Below are 23,459 nucleotides of genomic sequence, written 5' to 3' on the forward strand. Positions count from 1 at the left end.
CTATTAACATGGTGACAGAAGAAGACAAGAGGACTCTTCAAGATATCGAGACCTTCTACAACGCCTCCATTGAGGAGATGCCCCTCAATGTTGCTGATCTCATCTGAGGGGCTGGGGGCTGTCCTGCTACCTAGCCACATCCAGAGTGAATCTTGGGGTGGGTTGAGGTACAGCATGAGGGGGAGAGAAGGAAGCCAAGGGATGAACATCTTATCATTTCTTTGTCTTTCAATAAATGTCACTTTTTGAGGCAAAAAAAAATTATTTATAAATAATTTATAAAGAAAAGAGGCTTAATTGGCTCATGGTTCTGCAGGCTGTACAGGAAGCATGGGGCATTTCCTTGGCTTCTGGAGAAGCCTCAGGAAACTTACAATCACGTTGGAAGGCAAAGGGGGAACAGGCATCTCACATAGTCAGAGCAAGAGGAAGTGGAGGGATGCTACACACTTTTAAACAAACAGATCTTGCAGGAACTCACTGGCTTTCATGAGGACAGCATCAAGGTGTTGGTGCTAAGCCATTTTTGAGAACCCACCCCTGTGATCCAATGACCTCCCACCAGGCCCTGCCTCTAACATTGAGGATTACAAATACAATTCAATATGAGATTAAGGTAGGGGCACAGATCTAAACTACATCAATAGTATTCATCACCTTCCAACACAAAGTAAAATGCATTTATTCACTATACTTATTGTTTATTGTCTGCCTCACCCCAAGAGGGCTGTACTTTTTGTATTTTTTCACTCGTGTATTCCAGAAACCTAAAATGAAGACTTGCCTGTCACAATCATTTAGTTAATGTGTGTTAATTTGAAGTGTTGAATTACAATTTTTATTTGCAGTGAGTCTAAAATAGTTTATGCTAAGTAACACAGACCTTTAATATTTTAGTAAACTTTTAGTGGGGAATAATTTCAGATTATTATTTTTGATAATATGGAGAATCGACATATATACTTTACCCAGCTTTCTTTAATATTAACATTTTACGTAACTATGGTACACTTGTCAAAATGAAGAAATTAACACTGGCTCAATGCCACTAAATGACAGACTTCATACCAGTGCTTTCATTAATGTCCCTTCTCTCTTCCGGGATCTAGTCCAGTATATCACATTGTCCTTCGCCATATGTATGTCACTATGCCTTCTCAACTCTCTAACAGTTTCTCAGTCTTTCCTTATCTTTCACAACCTTGGCACTTTTGAAGAATTCTGGCCAGAGAGAATGTCACTCAATTTGAGTTTGTCTGTTTTCTCATTCTTAAACTGGCTGATAGGGTGTTCGGGAAGAACACCACAGAGGTGTGACACTCTTCTCCTTACATCAAAACAAGGGGTGGATGATAGCAACATGATTTATCACTGGTAATATTAACCTCGATCTCTTGGTTCACATGGTGTCTTCCAGGTTTCTACAACATAAAGTCATTGTTTACCCTTTCCATACTCTATGTTTCGTAAGCAATTTCTTAAGTCTAGTTCACACTCAAAAGACATGAAATTAAGCTCTACCTCCTGGATATGAGCATCTACACATATTTTTTGGAATGCACCTATAAGGAAGAATGGTTTCTTCTCCTTCATTTACTCATTTATTATTTATGTAAGTATGAATTTATCTGCATTTATCATATTCTTTGGATTATAATTCTATATAATCACTATTTACTTTGTTGCAAAAATAATTCCACCTTCTGCCATTGGGATAGTCTTTTGAGTTTGCTTCTGTTCATTAAAATATTAATAATTTTTTCACATACTCTACAATATTTCCGAAAATTTCCATAAGATTTTATCAGAAAATAGTCACTTTTCTTCTTAAATTCCCCACAATACTTATCACAAAACATTGTGTCTAGTACATCTTTCCTGAGGCTTCAGTAGTGGAGTAAATCACTGCACAGTACAGAAGGTAACTTAAGATGGGTTATACACACTCATGTTTCAAAATAAGATCCCCTCAGTCACAGTCAGTGTGACCACTTTCTCTCTTAACATTCTGCAGTCTCCTGTGGCCTCTTGATCCCTCATGAGTTTTCTCACAGTTGTCCTCCTCTTGTGAACCTTGCAATCCCCAAATATACAATTTGTTTTTTAGATAGTCAATTCAGCTTTCTCATGGTTTGCAGTGAACTTACAGATAATTCCATGGGGCTTTATATTTTGCAATAAACACAAACTACCAATGTATTTTGCCATAGAATTCAATTTTCTTCCATGGGGGTAGAAGATGTTGCTTGTTACAGGTTTAAATTTTTTTCTCTCATTTATATTTTGAAATATTCAGTGAAAAGAAGTTTAAAGAGTCTCCAGCAAGAGGCCGAAGACCTATGGCTTCCTAAAAAGATTTTTTTAAAGGAAAAATATATATAGTTTAGTCTTCTTTTAGCTCGATGCTAAAGAGATAGCTCAGCAGAAGTACATGGTAGAATGTCTTCGAAATTAGTTTTCAGAGTAATTTCTTTGGATATATGAAAGACTATCACTGGATTTTTTACATATCTATGGCTTTTTCCTAATTTTCGATTCTTAGCACTGCAGCGAAGTAGCATGGAGTAAGGAGCTTACATACACCTCAGTGAGGCCTAAATCTTTCCAAATCACATTTCCTATTTAATTCAATAGATTTTTCCCATAAGATGGACTGAAAGCACAGCCTAGTGGAAATATAGGATGGGACATGCTTAGGAAAAAGTGCAGACTGAGCAACTTTCAAAGATTGATGAAGTAATTCTTGGAGTGGATTATACTTTAAGATCTATTGCAAGCCAAACTGGCAAAAGGAAAATAGGTCTGGGAGAGATGCCAAGCAGAGTGAGTACTAAGGTGAATTTGGGGTCAACTCACAAATAAGGGAAATATAGGTAAGAATGTAAAGACTTTGCATTTTTAAAGTACTTGGCAAGAATGCAGGAGATGGATTTGGAATTAGATTTCCTTTATGAACTATTTTGGAAAGATTGTAGAGAAAAGCATCCATAACCAACAAAACTATTTAGCAGAACCACGAATCCATAGCAACGTCCTACTAGCAGTATCTAAGGCAGCCTATACAACTTCCGATGAAAGTGCCTACAAAGATTCAGTAAATCATGAAAACTCACACACAATTAAAAAGTAAGACTGAGAAGCAGCCTAAAGACATCTTCAGTAGTTTAAGGTAGTTGGTTCAGATTGAAAAAAAAATCCATCTGATTTCATTTAATGAAAAGTAATGACGATCTAGAAAAATGAAGAAAGCTGGTTCTCACTCCTTCAATGACCTGCCTTTCATACAGAAAGCAAGGGTCTACACACAAAAGGTCTTCCAGAAACCATGTGAGCAGAAGACGAAAATGACTCTTGGAAATACATTATGTGCTGAGATGTGTAGCTCATATTAAAGTGGATCAGGAGATTTTAGGAGAGTATAAATCCCATAGCAAAGAGCCAAACAACAAAGGAAATGAAGTTCTCTTGACTACCTGCTAAACATCCCAAAGGTTTGTATGTGCTTCTAAACACTTAAGAACTATGGCAAGCAAAGTATTATGATACTTAGAAAGTATTAATAGTACTGGAAACAACTGTGGCTGTAACTGTTTTACAGACCTCCTTGAGTTACCTAGAATGTTGTGCAGGGATGAAGGGGAAGAGCTGATACCTGTTTAAATTTGGAGCCTACCGGAAAATTCCCCTCACTTTTTGGAGCAACAGAGACATATTTACCACGTGGCTAATAATACTGCAGTTACAGGACCCTTTACTCTTTTGTGTCATTTCCAAACCCCCATGCCAAACTTTACATTAATAACTTTGCATTACTTTTTATAAAGGACTGCCAAAATTGTATAAGCCTGAACCTTCACAAAACTTTGATCTGCTCCTGGGAGCAGAGGAGAAAGTTTAAGGCCGTATGTCATGGCCCTACCATTGAACAAACACACAGAAATCCTCCCCCTCTCACTATATTAGAGGTCATTACTATGTTGGATTTTAACCCAAACTCCAAAGCAAAGGCCTCTCTATTTTGTAAGAAGTAAAATTTAAGTATATTTCTCCTACAGACTTCTATGACTTATCACAGCCCCTTCCCATGTGTCTTCTCATTATTCACACAGAGGCTTATGCATGTTATGTGGATATTAGTATGTTTACTTTAAATAATACTTTTCTTATTATGAATAAAGGGATAGATACATGTCCAATAGAGAAAAATTCGAGAAGTGCAAAAATCATACCATAATTTCACCTCTCTGAGATAACCACTACTAAAACGTATTTCTTTCCAGTTACTATTTGGATTTACATTTTCAATTGAATTATATTTTGTATACAATTTGGTATACTATAATTTTTACTTAGCATTGATTTAGCTTTAAATATTTTTACTTTAAATATTTTACTTAGCATTGATCTGCTTTAAATATAATTTTTACATACTGAAAAAATATTCTTTCACATGGATGTAGTCTAATTTACTTAGCCAGCCCCTTACCGTTGATTATCTAGGTTGTTTCCACTTTTTCCTTTTTACAAATAAAGCTCTGTTAAGCATGCCTAATTGAAATTTTTGTTCTAATTATTCTCTATGAATGCATTCCTAGGAGTCCAAAGTTATTAATTTATTTAACTTTTATTCTAGAAATATGCCAATTCAGATCCCAAAACAGTAAGAATTTACACATGGTAATGTGTATTTATTACTACTGAGTATTAATCTTTAATTATTTATTTGAATACATATAATTGTATCTGTGGTTTTTGCATCCATATTTATTAAATTCCTGGAAAAATTAAATATATAATTAAGTTTTGGACTGTTTATTATCTTATAAATTGGTTGATCATATTCTTTCATATTCTAACAGAACCTTCATATTTTCATATTAATGTTTTGACAGCTCCATAAATTAACTTGATTGTTCTCATATCTCACATGTTCTCATATGTGCTCCTAATTTTCCCTTTGCATTATCACTTTATGATCTTCTTTGACTTTTTAAAAATGTCTCCATAGTCAAATCTGTCTACCTCTTTGTAGATTCTTTATATGTCAATGCAAGATATAAGGTCTTTGGAAAAATTCAAAATTCAATGGTGAAATTCACTATAACTTTCCTGAAATCCAGCCCTTCTCAAAAAATTATTCAGTGTATGCTATGGCTTAGCTGTTTGCCCTCCAAAATGAGGTTGAAACCTAATCCCCAGCAAAACAGTATTAAGAGGTGGGGTCTTTAGAAAATGATTAGGCTCCACTGTCATTGATAGGATTACAATCTTTTAAAAGAGCTTGAGAGGGTAAATCCTTCTCTTCCATTCCTTCATCATGTGAGAGCACAACGTTCATCCCCTCCAGAGAACACAGCAACAGGACTCTATCTTAAAGCAGAAAGCAGTCCTTGGCAGACATTGACCCTGCTGGCCTTAATTGATCCTGAATCTTGGACTTCTTAGCCTCCAGAACTGCGAGAAATAAATTTCTATTGTTTGCAAATTACCCAGTTTCAGCTATTTTATTACAGCAGCACAAATGGACTAAGACAGTGCATCTAGTGTTTGAGAGTATCTTATGGCGATGATATATATTCATTGTTCCCTATTTTATGACATGTAACAAGATAATAAATTAACATATCTGAATCATAACTCAGGATTGCACATATTTCAGAGATGAGTTGATTTTAAGCTTTAAGTTTTATTTTTAATAATCTCATTTCTTTAGAATAGCTTGGGATTTAAGAAAATGTTGCAAAGACAGCCCAGAGAGTTCCCATATACCCCACACCCAATCTTACATTAGCCTCTTGCATTTGTCATGATTAGCTCATCAATATTGACATACTGTTATTAATTAAAGTGCATACTTTGTTCAGATTTTCTTATTTTTTACCTAATATTCTCCTTCTATTCCAGGATTCTATCAGGATGCAACACTGTATTTAGTCATCATGACTCCTTCATCACCTCCTGCTTTGACACTTTCAGAATTTCTTCATTTTAGATGACCTTGGCAGTTTTTAGGAGTGCTGGTCAGGTATTTTGTAAAATGTTTCTCATTTGGGATTTGTCTGATTTTTTCTCGTGATTAGACTGAAGTTAAGAGTAAGAAGAAGACAACAGAGGTAAAGTGCCATTCTTATCACATCATATTAAGGATGCATATGACATCAGGGTTGTGTTTTGATCTGAACCCCTTGGAAGAGGCAGTGTTTATCAGGTTTTTCCACTATAAAGTTAGTATTTTTTCTGCCTTTCCATACTGCATTCTTTGGAAGGAAGCCATTTAATCCAATCCATAAGAAAGGAATGTAAGCTTATGTTCCACCTCCTTGAGAGCAGAATATCTTCATAAATTATCTGGAATTTCCTATGCAAGAGTATATTTGTGTATTCTTCTCCATGAACCTATTTATCCAGTCATTTGTTTATATCAGGATGAGCTTATAAGTATTTATTTGATACTCTGGGATATGATTAAATATGTTCATGATTCTTCGACATGTACTGGATTTTGCCATTTTAAGAGCTTTCGGAAGGTTCAAATGTCCCTTTGACATACCCCATACCCTCATTATTGGGTGAGTGATCGTGTATGTATATGGGTCTTTGGATACTTCTTTAAATTTTGACACCACAAGATGCTCCAGGATTATATTATATATTTCCTGCCCAACAACCAGTCATTTCTTCAGGAAGCCATGGTTCTTTTCATTGGACGACGGTTTTAGAAACAAGGTCTAGATCCCAAATATGCCTGTTGCTGCTGGAATATCTTTGTTTCTTGGCCCTCTCAGAGTAAAAGAATATATGTGTGTATACTAACCAGTATACACACATATATTTATAAATATTTCTATATGTATCTATTTTTATCTATATTGAGCTAAACATAATTTATACTGATATCTCCAACTCTAATTCATTAACTACCTTATAGGTAAGTAATGCATCCATGTTTCTCCCCTTGTTTGTTTGTCACCTCCCACTTCAAAAGTGAGAAAACTGGCTCTCACCTTCAGCCATCTATTACTTAATTTTTCAGTTCCAGGATTCATGTATAGTTGGTTCAAAATAGTTAATCCATATTCCCGTGGAAAACAACTTTATGAACTAGAATATAGTCTTCATCAGCTCATAGAGTGCTTATAGGGCTTTTGCCATCAGTCTTAGTTTCCATTCCTTTCCAAAGTTGCTTAGAGTGGCACCTTTTTCCCGCAGTGCCTTTTCATTAGGTTTTTCAGAAATTTGTAATAGCCCTCAAATTTCCTAGAGGACCAACACAAGAAATGTTTATTCGAGCAATTATATATCTTGCTTATTTATAAACATGAAATAAACACCTTCCTAATTCAATAACAGATTAAAAAATTCAATACCCAGAAGAATATGTGTGCTTAATTTTATCTTTAAAGGTATATTCTCAGAATAAAGTAACTACATACCTAAGTACTTTTCTTGTTTTACCTTACTTTCTGAACCAAAGCTAAATTTGAATCTCAAGCACAGTAATTCATTCTGCAGTGTCCAATAGTAGCTATCCCAGCTTCTTTTCATTGGTTTTGATTTCTCTTCGATTTAGTAAATCATGTTGTTTATATCCTATTTATTTTTAAGATGCCTCGGTAATTTTCATGAATTAGCAGCATTAAAAACATAAATAAATAATCTGAATTATTGAGTCTCCAAAGTTCTGAACATACTGAACTCTTCATGTGTATATGTATGTAAAATATGTACTACATGAAAACACTAACACCATGAAAAAATAAATTTTCCAAAATTATACACTGTGTGCTTACTCTGGGTAAAGTATGCACTGTGGGATATATATAATCATCAATCTTCAAGTTCCTACAATTTAGTTAAGAAAAATAACATTAAAATGAAAAAAGACTTTAAGGGGGCATGGTGGCTCACGCCTGTAATCCCAGCACTTTGGGGGTCCGACGCGGGCAGATCACGAGGTCAGGAGATCGAGACCATCCTGGCTAACATGGTGAAAACCCATCTCTACTAAAAATACAAAAAATTAGCCAGGCGTGGTGGCAGGCCCCTATAATCCCAGCTACTCAGGAGGCTGAGGCAGGAGAATGGCGTGAACCCCAGAGGCAGAGCTTGCAGTGAGCCGAGATCGTGCCACTGCACTCCAGCCTGGGCAACAGATAAGACTCCTGTTAAAAAAAAAAAAAAAAAGAATTTAGAGCCAGGTGTGGTTGCTCATGCCACCAGTGACTTGAGAGGCTGAGGCAGGAGGATTGCTTGAGCACAGGAGTGTGAGGCTGCAATGAGCTATGACAGCCACTATACTCCACTGGGGCAACAGAGTGAGACCCCAACTCTAAAAATAAAAATTAAAAAAAGAACTAAGTCTACGTGTGTATTACTTAGCTTTTATGCTACTAATAAAGATATATCCAAGACTGGGTTATATATAAAGGAACAGAGGTTTAATTGACTCACAGTTCCACATGGCTGGGGAGGCCTCACAATCACGGTGAAAGGCAAATGAGGAGCAAATTCTCATCTTACATGGGGGCAGGCAAGAAAGAGCATGTGCAGGACAACTCCCCTTTAAAAAACCATCAGATCTTGTAAGACTTATTCACTATCACAAGAACAGCACAAGAAAGACCCAACCCCATGATTCAATTACCTTCCACAAGTCTCTCCCATGACACGTGGGAATTATGGGAGCCACAATTCAAGATGAAATTTGGGTGGGGACACAGCCGAACCATATCAAGATGGCTATATAAAAAAGCTAATCAAAAAAGCAAATGGCTATATGAAAGCTAATAGAATGATATTTGGAATGTGGGAAAGCGGTATTGATTGGGTGTATTCTGGAAGGTTTCATTGTGAAAGGCCATTTGTTCATTTATTTTACAAGTATTCATAAGTACTTTTGACATGCCAGAGACTACACTAAGTGTCAGCAATCTAAAGATAAATGAGATACAGTCCTTGACTTAAGTAACTTAAGTCTAGACCAGATTTTCTCGTAGATCTGACATTAAAAGTTTGGTAAAATTGAAGGAGGTATAAAGGCAGGAGAAAGAGCTTGAGACATTTTATAGATACCTGATTACAAAATGATAGCTGAAGAACAGTAAGCAGACCGACCTGCAAAATGTCAAAAGTATCAAAATACAGAAAATGCGTAACTCTAGGTTGAACTCTAGGCTGAATATAGAAAACTCAATAAGTAGTTCAAATTTGTACTAGACTTTTAAAAATGAGTAGGGTTAATAGACACAGAGAAGAGTGTCAGGATAATTACAGAGAAAGAATTATGTATATATAGATAAAGGTATGAAGGCAAAATGCATTGATTAAGTAAATGGGATACTCTGTCTGAAGTGAAGAAATTAAAAAATATTTTAGGACTCGAAAAATAAGCTGAAGCCAAAATGAAGATAAACTTAAATATCCTGATGAAAGTTGTAGAAAAACTGGTTGGCTACACTTGTCTACTAGTTGTCTGATGTACAGAATGATATTTCAAAGAGGAGGGAGTACAAGTTAAGATGGTTTTCACAAACCCAGGCACAAAGTACTGAATGTGAGAATAAAAGAACAGGCATAGTAGCTATCAAAAGAGTTAATTGTATAAAATATAATTTGAAGATTTGAGTCTAAGTGACTAGAATGAGAGAATTAGAAAAAATAGAAATTAAAGATTTTTGTTAACAAAAGAATGTCATTTATAAGGTTTAATTTTATATCCCTACAATACCATTCTGTAAATATACAACAGTGCTTGTTCTAAATATAGATAAGGAGATAGGAAGAATTGATTTGAGATCGACTTGGAAATCAGCTTCATGGAAGTGAGAGTTGATACTGTGAGAAACGAAAGTATAAAGAGAGATGAGAAGTACTTGGACTAAAGTTCAAATAATACCGACTTCTGGCAGAGAGCAAAAAGAATGAACCAAGCAGAAGGGAACAGAATCCGGAATTGGCACTATGTCAAACTGCACTGATCCACCTCTCCAGGACTGGGAAAACTAGAAATGAGCCGATGAAAATCAGGAGACTGAAGTAAAATTATGTCATTTGCTTTTCTTAAATGTCTAGTCAATCGTTGTCTGTTTTTCTTGACCTGATATTTACAGAGTTGCTCAATAAGTTCTAGTAGTTAATACAAAGTCTTTTTGTTTGGTTTTTTTTTTTTTTTGGTCTATGGACATGAAATATGGATAAATGTAAGCCAAAGACTTTACAAGGAAAGGAGTTGTTTGTTCATCCCAACTTACAATAAAACTAAACAAAAAGTTATTGACTGTCTTCCATTAATTAAAGCAGTTTCATCTCCTATGAGCACCCACTAAATACCCTGAATTTATTCTAAAAACTTCAAACACTCAGCTCACCAGCTTTAGCCTGATACTGTCCACCACCTGAACACATTGAATTTTTACCTATTCCTGAAGGACACGTCCAACTCCCCTGGTTTTCCTGCTTACCTTTGTTTCTTTCTCCTTTCTCTTTCCTCATCTCTTCCTCCTTCCAATCCCTAGTATCTTCTCTGATAAAATTAATTGCTAGTAACATTTACTGTCACTTTCAAACTGACCCTTTGGGCACCTTTATCTGAGTAGAACCAGTTTAGTAAGTGTAAATACAATCATTCAATGAACATATATTCCGAACCTACATGTTACAGGGCACTGTACTAAGCTACAGAAAAACAAAGTTACAATGAAGTGTTCGGTCTACTGCAGGATATCCCATTTTTCCTGAATTCAGTTTAAATATTCAGATAACTATGGCCATACAAAAAGTATTTCCCCCTGGTAGAGGCTGGGAGTGTAAGAACCAGCCTATACTCTGTAGCTAAAATTTGAAGATATAACTTCAAATTTTAAGTTCAAGTTATAGCTCCAAATTTTAGCTACAGAGGAGCCATTTGGAGTCATCTGTCACACCTTAAAAACTCTAAACTCAATAGCTTATAAGATCCTCAAGCGACTGATAAAGAAGGCTGGACAAATCAGGACCCCACTGAAAGGACTACAGTTTGATATAGTTCATGTTTAATGCAAAAATGCATGGCTAAATTTTGTTGCCTAGAATTTTATAGACATGGATAGAAACATTTTATTATTAAGCCACTCATTTCAAGCCATATTGCCAATGGCTTGCAGTCTCTAAAGGAAAACTACATATTTCAAATCAGTTTAATCTAAAATACTCTCCGGCCTTGCTAATTGTTTTTTAGTTTCTTATTTTCTGTTCAAATAAAACAGGATAATAAAGTACTGGTATCTTAAATTCTTATAAAAGTCATAATAGTATATCTTCTTTTTTTTGTCAGTGGATCATTTCAATACTGGCAAGTAGGTCATATAAATGTCATATATCTGGCCAATATCTAAAGTTATTTTTAATATTTCCAATTGCTAAAGAAAATTATATCTGAAGAATTGTTATTGATAGAAATTTTGCCCTCTACCAATACTAAATTGTGTCATCTATATAAAACTACTGCTTTTCTTTAAAATAAAAATTTTAATAACTTCCAGTTCTTATTTGTTGTTCTTTTACATAAGCTACGAGTAATTATTTTGCCTGAATATTTTAATCTTGTTTTTACTCCTAAAATTTACCCAGTTAATAATGCATGTATAGTGATTTTAATTGGTATGGTTTGTAATTATGCATATTCAGATTAAACAAGACAAATGGCAGGACTCGTAATGGCATCATATTAAAAATATAATACGTTTAAAATATATTTAAAAGTATAATTATAAAAAAGAATGAGAGCTATTTTAAAATGTTTTCTAGATATAAATAATCACATTTACTAAAGGGTATTACAGAAATCCCATAAGCAAAAGATATTACAAAGGATTATTTAGAGAAACAATTGGAACTCAGACTTCTTGATAACTACTTGCTACTGCTGACCAAATACAAACTGAGTGTAATCTACCATGATTAATTGCTTGTGTTTTTTTCAAAACTGTGTAATTGAGAAACAGTGTAATCAATGATATAAATGTAACTCCAATGTATCTTTTATACACAACTTTAATGGCTTTTATTCTCTCTAACTTTTCCTATACATAAGAGCAAACTGTATTTGCAAAAGATCAGTTTCTTTTATTGCCCTGATCCCAGATAAATTGTAATTTTTTATCACATAAAGCATAGAAATATATATGAAGATGGAAAATTAAAACATGTCTTATTTGATAGTCTGACTGAATTGAGGTGGCAAATGGGCTCTTGAATATAACACACTAAACAAATATAAGAAGTTGTTATTATATCTTAATAAAAGCCCAAAATAAATAAATAACCTGATTTCCTGTACTTTGTGCAGTGTCTGAACTACTACAGAAAAGAACTGGTCAGGGAGTTGACTTCTGCCTGGCTGATTGATGCACCCCAATCTACATCATCCTTCAGAATGAGCTTAGTAGCCCACCTGGAGTACTACTCAGGAGCCATTGACATCCGGTTCAATGACCCTTCATCACCTCGAGTCCTCTCTTAAAATTTCCATTAAAAGAGGTCAAATGCTGCCTGGCAGCCTGTTAGTAGTTCCCGCCTTAAAGGCACCCAATTTTCATTTATGGTTTGTTAGTTATTTATGATGTATTCTTCATCAGGGCTTTTACTATAGCTTCCAATTCTTTTAGTGTCTTTTCTTCACCTGCTCAAAGAACTTCTGATTGAAAAAATTAACTTGATACCAAGGAAAATTGAATTTACTTCTACCTTTATCCTTTAAGATTTCTTTTATTTCTGGGTGATAGGTGATAAAACAGGATTTCCAACAACTACAAAGCTCCCCTTTCTGTGGCTGATAAATTTAATATTATCCCAGAATACTTGTTTAAATTTAAAAAGCTAACAGAAATCTATGCTATCAGAAAAGATCCCTCAAGTAAACACCTTTTTTTCAAAATAAACCTGCGTGTTTTTATCTTTTGTATTCTGATTACCATAAAAACAGACAATCACACATACAGAATTGTTTCAAAATATTAATGCTTTCTTATTCCAGGGCAAGCAGAGAAAGCTATAAGAACATCACATAGAGACTGGTATATAGATTATTATTGCAAACAATTTTTATACTGATCTAAGATTCATTACTGAAGCACCTAGCATAAAAATGTTTACAAAATAAAAGAGCTCCCTCTCTGCATAAAAAAGATCTCCGTATTTATGCCAGCAAAAATAAAATTTATGATGGCTCTCAATTGTAAGGCTCTGAAGCCAGCACTCAGAGTCAATTGCACTTTTCAACCAATGATCTCCAAGTGCTTTACCAATAAGGGTTATTGAAAGTGTTTCACACAAGAGCAAATACAGATGACCTATCAAAATCATGGAGCAAATTTCAAACCAGCTCATGAACTAAACACTATATAATGTATGTGTATTTATTTGTTTTAATGTTCACATCATGGTGTCTACTCCCTCGTTTTTGAAAAGTTTAGGACTACTTGTGTTAATTAACAAGCACCACAAAATTATAGCATATGGTTATGTATTCGTTTTAAAGGACACAAGTATTATATATGAGGCTCATTATTTCAGATTAGCATGTCATTAAGATATGTATGAGTTTGTTTCAATATACAGGGAGTGAAAATCAGTTGTGAAATATAGTGAATTCTCAAATATCTGTTTGAATGGAGAAAAGAAAGTACATGAGTTGCCTAAACTGGCTGTTTTAACTATTTATGTTTCCCTTAAATACTTTTAACTACATTTTTGTGTTTGGATGTGAAAATATTTTCATCCCAGAAAAACATAATTCATCAAACTGAACTGTAAAAACACATTATAAATATATGATGCGAGAACAGCAAAACACTGGTTAAGCTTCTCTGTGCACTCTTCTTTCCGAGTTCCATCCCCAACCCTCTTCTGGCCAGAAGGGAATAATCTCTCAGACAAAGGAAGCACACTCATGCTCTTTCTTTCTAAGCTTGCATCTTTCCTAGCTTATCCTGTCCCCGCAGAGAAAATGATTTTTACATATTTTTGGTAGTAAGTTAATCTTTAATTGAAATATTTTAGGCTAATAACTATGATTGAGCTAAATGCCACTGTTCCAATTCCACCACAGTTCATGTAATACTGCACTATTGCAGGTAGAGTCATATTCATTTCTGCATCTTTGTGGGAAGGAACTGTGATCTCTTTCCCGCCTTTATGCTCAGCGTCATGTACTGTGCCTAGTGTAAGGTGGCACTCGGTGAGAGTTTGAAAATACATAAAAGAACAAATAGAATAAGGTATAATCAAAATTGACATTGGCTCATCATGTCTGCTTTGACTTTGTTTTCCACAATAACACTTCCAAAGATGGCAAAGAATAGAAAAGCTATTTCTGCTGCTTAATCCACATATATTAGAAGAAGCAGCTTAATGTACCACTAATATGTATGCTATTTCTATAACAAAATGCCAAGCAAAAACAAATAGTAAAGCTGCAACCAGTGTAGATGTTTTATATAGTGCAAAGCTTGATAAAAAGAAAACTTCACATTTATTTATACAAAAACCTGGTGTGTGCGTGTATATATGTGTATATATTTACACATATATAGTTATGATCCCATTTCATTATAGTACATGTATGTCTTGCTTTTTCTTGTTCTTTTTCTCCTGCAGTTGAGAGAACTCTTCCCTCTATCCTTCTACAGGAATACCAGCAAGCAGACAACCCCAGAATCACATTTCATAACACAACTCCAGGAACCCAGTGGCCACAGAAAAGCCTTCTTTCATTGTGACTAGTTTTAGGACCTCTGGGATATTAATTCATCATTGTGCCCTCTCATCACTTCATCCATTATGCCTGTCTATAGCTCACGGAGAGCAAAGAATGACGCAGACGCCTACTGAAGCAATAGCGTGAGATTACCAACACAATGACTTTCAGTGTGGGTAGGGAATTGACGATACCGGCAGAAATGACTACAATCTGCTTTAGAAATATCCGTGTTGGTCTGGCCTTTTAAGGCTGCTACATAAGTGAGATTAGTAATATTAATCTATTCTTCAGCGAGGAAAGTTATTGTATGTGGAAAATTAAATAGGACCATCCATTTTAGAATTGAAATGCTAAGCTAAAACCTTCTTCTGCAGCCTCATCCTTTTTCTAGAGAGTGGTACATGTGTCAATGTTGCAGGAAAGCATCCTTGCTCTCTTCCTTTGTTTGGATCCGGTTTTACAAACAACCGTAGTATCCATTTCCTCGGCTTACAAAACCTGTGAACAAGCACAGCCGAGAACCAGCCATTTTATTCTTCCTTCAAAATGCATGAAAATGTCAACTGCCTTTTCCATGCTTCCCCATAAAACATCAATGAACTGATAAAAAGCAAATGAGTGTGCCTAGTTAACCAATAAATGTAGGATTTTTTTTTCATGTTCCTGTGAGTTAACTTGCAAAATTCCGAGATTAGCAACTAGTCTTTGAATGAACTAGAAACATAATTTTGTCTCTCACAAATGTAGACGCTTTGTGCTAACAAAGATTTTTCTCTGAACACTGTTTTTCACTCCTTGAAATGAATGGTAATAAGTAGGGGCTGAAAAACATGGAACTCACTTCTTTTTGAGACGGAAGCTGAGCGCCATCTCGTGGTGACAGGCCTCTATGACTCTCCTAGCATTGTAACTCAGAGGAGGAAAAAAAGGGCTGTAATGTTTTCCTGTGTTGTTCTTTTTAGCAGCAAAGACCAGTCTTGACTTTTGTAAGGAAAACTTTTGAACACTCACATCATATCTGAGGGAAGCAATACACTAATGCAATAATCCCAAGGTAAAGCAGATTTCTAGGTCACTGAATTTATTGTAATCTTTTTTAGACATTTACAAGTTATATTTGCTTAACTATAGTTCTATGCATTTCCTTAGAAGAGTAGGTCATTGGGGTACAGGAGGATGAAAAAAAAACGTTTAATTAGCCTCCTTGCTCTGCATGTGGATATTAATAGCTCTTATATTTGAAACCCAGTTTTCACAAATTCTTTTATCTATTTAACTTTTGAAATAAATTACTAAAATATTATCACTCTATTGAGAAAAAAATTGGAATACAGTCTTACTACTTACTGATACTTACTAGTACATTTGTCTTTATTTAGTATTTTATTCTATTACCCATTTAGTCAACTTGGACTGAGTCTAGCTATAGATTTGTGCACCAAATTAGCACTTTCAATATTTTTCCTACAGTAAAATTCTACTCTTCATCTCTAGCAAAGCAGCTGTACAACTGTCTTGCTTATCCCACATTACTCACATGGGAGTATGGTTACAAAGACAAACTGTATAAATTGAAATCTCTTTGTTGCTCCATTCCTTACGTTAGCAAAAAATAAAAACATTCTAGTCATGTCAACATATTAAGGATCAGAAACTAAGCAGATGGGTATCTTTTAAATAAGCATGAAAAAGAAAAGTTATGATTTGTTTTTCAGTTGCTTTACCAAATGAGACTTCTATAGATTTAAAAAAAACGTAAAGCTTTAGATCTCAACAAGAAAATCCATTCTTACAGTGGATTTACCTTGCTATCATTCTAGAGTCCAAGCCCGTCATAATAAGCGCAACCATAAATCCTTGGTCAGTGACTCTGAACCTATTGGCTTCACAAGGAATCATTTCCCAACCATAAATATAAGCTGATTGAAAACCAAGGTCATGTCTTCATGATGATTTACAGAGCTATTTAGGGAAACTGTCTAGGACTTAATCCAAATGAACAGGAACAATTTCCACAAATGTAAAAGTATGTTATATGGAAATATTCAAATAAATAGATAGACACATAATAGAATTTTTAAACTATGTTCTCTTCATTTTGTGGACTAAAGGCAGTGGGAAAAAAGATAAATAACTGATTGTAAATACCACCAGAGAAAGGCTGGAGAAATGAAAAAAATAGCAATGTTTAAGGAGAAAGCTGGAGTATATTTCTGGGCATACATTATCATACTGTGAGAGCTCACTCATCCCTGTCCTCTTCAGCCCTGAAATTCCTTGTGATATTATCCCTATCACTATTCCTTCATGGAAATCTCAACTGACCTCTCTGACTAGGTCAAATTGCCCTATTATGTACTTCATAGCACATGTATCTCAATTTCATAGCTTTTATCACAAAGGCAGTTTTATGTGATTATTTGATTAATTTGTGTCTCTTATATTGAACAGTACACTTCATAAGGATATCATTATATTGTGAGTGACACAGATATGCATGGTGTTTAGAACAGAGATTGGCCTCGATGAATAAATGTTCACTACATAAATGAATAAAAGAATGAAAGAAAGTAAAGAATTTGACAGTGATTCAAGTTTATATCTTATTTTGGATTTGTATCTGTATGTATTATATGTGAAGCCCTTGTTCAATCTACAAATAAAAAAACTAGCAATAACAAATGGAGTTGAGCAAAATTCTCAAGAATGTAAGATACCCATTTGAAATTAATTGGGTTCTTGAGGAAGCCTTGCAAACAACGTTAGGTCATTAAGTCAGTAGCATTCCAATATTCTCATAGACTGCATCTTGTCCCTTTCAATCCTTTCCCTTATTGCAATATGTCAGATGTCTGACCAACTTTTTTGTTGTTTGCTTGCTAACATTAACAAAGATAATAAAGTTTCTATTTTATATAAAATGCACTGCTAAGCTAAACTCAATACTCTAAACAGATGAGTGACATTGACATTTGCAGAAAATATTGCTTTCATAGTCCCGAGGCAGAGGGTGAAATATTTTAAAGCAGCTAAGGGTTAGCAGCATTGTTTCAAAGCTGAAACAGAATAGAATTAAACAGAGGGAAAAAAAGGGCTTGTTGAGTAGCAACTATTGCATGAAATGTCTTCCCAGATATATTCTTGTATGTGGGTGCTCATGCACTGGTGACGATGTAAAATATATTATTCCCTTAGGATAATCAAAATATGTGAAAGCCATTGTGCTTGAGCAGAGGCAAGCAAAAATTTTTCCCTAAAAAGCAGATATTAGAAAATTTAGGTTACACGGCCATATACTCTCTGTTGCAACAACCCAACTTTGCTTTTCTAGCATGAAAGCATCCATGGGCAGTACACTAACAAACACATGCATCTATGTTACAATAACTTTTTTTTTTTTTTTACAAAAACAGGCATCCAGTAGGCTTGGCCCACATGCCACAGGATCAAAAGAAGTGAGGCTCTTCTCATTTAGAATTTCTACAAATAAGAAAACTATGTATTAATTTGGCATCAAAAAACTCCAATGTCAGTGATAACGTGATTCTCATTTGAACAAAGGGACAGGATATGACATTTTTACAGTGTCCTAACATGCTCTCTGATGGCCACCTTCCATTTTACCTTTATTGACACAATGTTTCACACTGGCTTCCAAAAGATTTATAAAATAATTTCTACTTTTACCTATTGAGAGCCATTTGGATGAATAATTTCCAATTAATTCTCTTAATCTACTTCATATGCTTTTTTGAAAGTCTAATACGTTTACCTTCTTTCTCTTTCAACTGATTCTCTTCAGCATTTCACAGCCAGTGATATTGCCTTGACTGGGCCCTCAGTACTTTTATGTGTCAGATTCATCATCTTATTTACCAGACATCATTCATTCTCTGGTAGAGTATATGACTCAGGGACTGCTCAATCCACTGTGGAAAAAAAATATGATAATAAATTCACAAACATGAAATCTTGACTTTTCCACGTCTCTCTTTTCCAGTTGAGACCTTGATAGTTGAGAGCCCTGTATCTGCATAAATTCAATAGGCTCCAGAGAGTTAAGCCATTAACCTGGTATGATTCTCTAGCAAATTACAGTCACACATCAAAGATAATCTGTGACACTATTTCATGGATCTTTGAAAAGTCACTTGATTTTGTGTCAATGTCTTTTCTGGGGCTTTAGTAATGAGGTCTTATAAAGGACCCTAGAAAGACCACAAAAAGAGACAAGAAATAACTCCTCCTGGAAACCCTTTAGAAAATGGCTGTTTTGGAAAAGGAATCAAGAAACTAAGTTTATCTTATGAAAATTAGATGGTCTGTGAAAACACGGCTTCGTAGACTTAGAAGGGTTGATAAAGGATCTAAGCATAATCTGTTCCTCATATTTAAAAGACCAAAACTTAAGAACCAATTTAAGAGTAAGCAAGGAAAAGTCTGTGTGTCTCAAGATGCACCTCCAGAAATCTTGTCCAAAGAAGATTTAATCAGAAAGTCGTTTCAGACAAAACCTAATTTCTATCAAATTAATTTATACACATTTCTACTAATTTTCTACTTTTAAAAGACTTCATTTCTAGTAGCTAATTTCTGCTATTTAAATTCTACTGAGAACTGGAATATGTCTAACAACAAACTTAAGATCATTTTGATATTTAAATAAAGAATCCCAGCTTTCCCAACACATAAAAGAAGTCCTTTGTAACTATGATCTAACACTTCTTCAAAACACTTAGCCCAAAGCTCACTAGCTAGGAAGAAACTAAACCTCAGGGTTATGATTGGTTTTGTGATTATAGACCTGGTTTCTAGAACGGTTGTATGTTAGTCAGCTATTTCTATGATGATGCTGTGTAACAACCTTAAAATCTCAGTAGTTTACAAAAAGCAAGTGCACATATCTTACTCATGTATCTGCAGATGTTCTCAGCATCTCTGCTTCTAGAGGTCCAGTTCAGGTCAGCTCCAAGCGTCTCTCATTCCAGGAGCCTGGTCAAAAGAACATGATGACCTGGGACATGCTCTTATGGTGCAGGACAGGAGCACAGAACAACGAGAAGAAACACTCATTGCATCTGAAAGTCTGCACTCCTCACTGTCACACTGAACTTCTCCTTATATTTCACTGGACAATGTAAGCCACATGGTCAAGATTCAGGTCAGTGGATTGAGGAAGTATGCTCCACCTATAAGGAAGTCTCAGCAAGGGTGTGGAATAGTTACAGACAACAAACACCATTTACCGCTCACTGCATCAAAAACCTATTAAAAAAGACTTTGTATAAGCTCTTAAAGTCAATATCCGATGTTTACAAAAGAACTTTTGTGGCAAGAAAATATAAAAGCAAGTGAAAGGAAGGCACCCACATGATGAATTGCCGTGAAAGCCAGGCAAAGACTTTTGTATTTGATAATGACAACTCTAAGGAGCACAGAGAGCAGAGAGTTATTGCAGCATGTAATTCCTTCAGCCTGAGCTAGTGTGTAGAGAAGAGAGAAGAAATGTAATTTTCATTTCACTGGGAAACTTTATGACAGATTTGTTTTTCAAAAAAGAGGAAAGAAACAAAAATGTTTTCAAGATGCATTAGAGTGCTGACGAATTAGGAGAGCCATTGGGGCATACAAAAAGATGGCAAGTTCAATTTGGGACACATAAAATTTGAGGCAATGTCAGCTCATAGGAATCAGAAATCTAGATGTGATCATTAAAGCTGTAGGCATAAAGGGTGTCATCAAAGAGTATGGAAAAACGAGGGAAGAGTACAGAGCCATAGACGGAGGTCTGAGTGACGTCCAGTCTTAAAAATGGGCACAAAGGAAGATGATAAACATGAGAAAGGGAAGAAATCATTCAAGTAAGTGTGTCCTAGAAGAAGGTATTTATGAGGCAGCCTAGGAAATGGGATCAAGCCAACTGTGGCATCAGAGAGACCTGAGCGATGAATCCTAACACTGCCTACCCAGGAAACACTGGAGAAGTAACCTCACTGAGCTTCAGTTTCCACATGAAACTGGCCTGATAGCATCTGCCGAACAGTGAGGTTTAGAGATATATCAACTTTTAACTAATATCATAGTGCTTGATTGTGAAGGTAGAAAAACAAGACTTCATCCCAACCCTCCAGTAGGACCTTAATACAAAAGGAAGTGAATGCCATTTACATGATCATTAATAATCAAGTATCACAGTTCCTTTTGCTGATGTGATAGGCTGTCTGCCTTTTTCCTAATTCCTGCTCATTCTTTAGGCATCAGTTGAATTGAAAGCCTTCCCTAATGCTCAGTCTGAATTATGCAACCTGTTATTCTCTTTCAAAGTACCTTATTGTCCTCCATAGCACTTATATTTCTTTATCTATTTGTATGTTTCCATAATGTCTCTTCCCTATTAGTCAACAGTAAAAGTCATGCCATTTTTTGATACTGCCTCCCTTTCAGGATAAGTCATGTCTCTTACTTCAGAAAAAAATCAATGTTATCGGAGGCAAAGCCTTTCAAGTTTTCATTTTACTGTACTATTTACATTTTTACCTTCTTTCATCTTATGGAAAGTGCATTTCCTCTGAATCAAAGTTAATTATTTGCAGTTCTCACATGTGCTGTTTTTATCCTGTAAGACTTTGTAGCCAGTCTCTCTCTCTCTCTCTCTCTCTCTCTCACACACACACACACACACACACACACACACACACACACACACACATTGGCAACCTCTTCTAGATCATTTCTAGAGATTAAGAACATTCTGGCATGACTAGTCTTTGTCATCTTAAAATAATTTCTCCTCACAATTTACTTCTCTCCAGTCATATGCTCTTCCTTTTGCTGTTTCTATAGCTCCACTCCTCTCTAGAGCACTCCATGGTTACTGTGTCTACTTTCCAGTTATTCATCCTTCCTCAGGCCACTACAATAGTTTAAGAAAATTGCTGCGGCAAATACCACCCATGATTTCTTGATTAAAACGAAAACATATAATTAATCTTTATTTTAACTTTTATTTTAAGTTAGGGGCCCAAGAGCAGGTTTGTTACATAGGTAAACTTCTGTCATAGTCTGTACACAGATGAAATAATCTGTACCTAGGTATTAAGCCTAGTACCTATTAGTTATTTTTCCTTATCCCCTCCTCCTCCCACCCTCCACCCTCCAATAGGCCCCAGTGTGTGTTGTTCCTCTCTATTGTGTTCTTATTTAGCTCCCACACCTTACAATACTGTTTGACAGTTAACTGCCCCATTTTTAAAAAATTTATTTTATTTTACTTTAAGTCCTTCGATACATGTGCAGAACATGCAGTTTTGTTACACAGGTATACATGTGCCGTGGTAGTTTACTGCACCTATTAACCCATAATCTAGGTTTTAAGCCCCACATGCATTATTTGTCCTAATGCTCTCCCTCCCCTTGCCCCCCACCCCCCAACAGGACCCGGTGCATGATGTTCCCTTCCCTGTGTCCATGTGTTCTCATTGTTCAATTCCCACTTATGAGTGAGAACACACAGTGTTTGGTTTTCTGTTCCTGTGTTAGTTTGCTGAGAATGATGGCTTCCAGCTTTATCCATGTCCCTGCAAAGGACATGAACTCATTCTTTTTTGTGGCTGTATAGTATTCCATGGTGTATATGTGCCACATTTTCTTTATCCAGTCTACCATTTATGACTGCCCCATTCTTAAAACTCAATTTCACCTGACTTCTGAGATACTCATCTCTCCTGTTCTCTTACACCGCTGACAGTTTCTACTTAGTTCCCTTTGCTGATTTGTGTTCTACTTGTTCTTTAATATTAGTAATTATCAGAGTTCTGTTTCTCCTTACTTTAAAGAAAAAAAAAGCCTTATTTCTGAATGACACTGTGGTTTCAAAGATGTATCATGAAAGAGTTTCCAAGCAAGGAATGAAATTAGAGCTGCTTTCTGAAAATTGCACATACATCAACAACATTTATTGTCTATGTGCGTGATGGTTACTGAGGACATGGTATTTATTGATCATAAAAAAATACTACCACACTTGCATTTCTAAACCATGTCACTATAACCCACTATAACCTATATCTGATATATAGACCAATATTTTCAAAGTCTATTAGATATATGCCACATGTTTGCCTCAAAAACAATATGTCCAAAATGAGCTCATCAAATAGCCTACCAAATTTGTTCTTTCTCCCTGTATTAATCTGTTTTCATGCTACAGATAAAGACATACCTGGGACTGGACAATTTTCATAAGAAAGAGGTTTAATGGACATACAGTTCCATGTGGCTGGGAAGCCTCACAATCATGGTGGAAGGCAAGGACGAGCAAGTCACATCTTACATGGATGGCAGCAGCAAAAAGAAAAAGAGCTTGTACAAGGAAACTCCTATACAAGGTTTAAAACCATCAGATCTCGTGAGACTTATTCACTACCATGAGAACAGCACAGGAAACCCCCACCCACCCCCATGATTCAATTATCTCCCACCAGTTCCCTCCCACAACATGTGGGAATTATGTGAATTACAAGATGAGATTTGGGTGGGGACACAGAGCCAAACTATATTACTCCTGTATGCTTTCTCTCAATAAATGGACCACAACCTACCCAGGAAGCAAAGTAAAACACTTGGTAAAATATAGTCTGCTACTTCCCTCTCCTTCTATACTTCTAACCAGTCAGAAATCTAGTTAATTAGATTTCCTTAATATCTCTTATATTTCACTATG

General features: G+C 35.4%; 2 long non-coding RNA genes and 1 pseudogene across 3 annotated transcripts in view; 2 read left to right on the forward strand and 1 right to left on the reverse strand.

The window, feature by feature from the left end:
- EIF4A1P12 (eukaryotic translation initiation factor 4A1 pseudogene 12) overlaps positions 1 to 104 on the forward strand; it is a 144-nt pseudogene extending 40 nt beyond the window's left edge.
- LOC107984684 (uncharacterized) overlaps positions 1 to 12,298 on the forward strand; it is a 28,000-nt gene extending 15,702 nt beyond the window's left edge. Inside the window, exons 2-3 of the long non-coding RNA XR_001750691.2 lie at positions 5,905 to 6,113; positions 9,767 to 12,298. This is a non-coding gene — a long non-coding RNA (uncharacterized LOC107984684). The remainder of the gene's footprint in view (positions 1 to 5,904; positions 6,114 to 9,766) is intronic.
- Positions 1 to 19,845, reverse strand: part of LINC02300 (long intergenic non-protein coding RNA 2300) — a 24,751-nt gene extending 4,906 nt beyond the window's left edge. For both annotated transcript variants that reach the window (XR_001750690.2, XR_943666.3), the window contains exons 1-2: positions 19,647 to 19,845; positions 18,510 to 18,666 (exon numbers count right to left, since the gene is read on the reverse strand). This is a non-coding gene — a long non-coding RNA (long intergenic non-protein coding RNA 2300). The remainder of the gene's footprint in view (positions 1 to 18,509; positions 18,667 to 19,646) is intronic.
- Between the last annotated feature and the right edge of the window lie 3,614 nt (positions 19,846 to 23,459).

Source organism: Homo sapiens, chromosome 14, assembly GCF_000001405.40.
Source record: "Homo sapiens chromosome 14, GRCh38.p14 Primary Assembly".
NCBI lineage: Eukaryota > Metazoa > Chordata > Mammalia > Primates > Hominidae > Homo > Homo sapiens.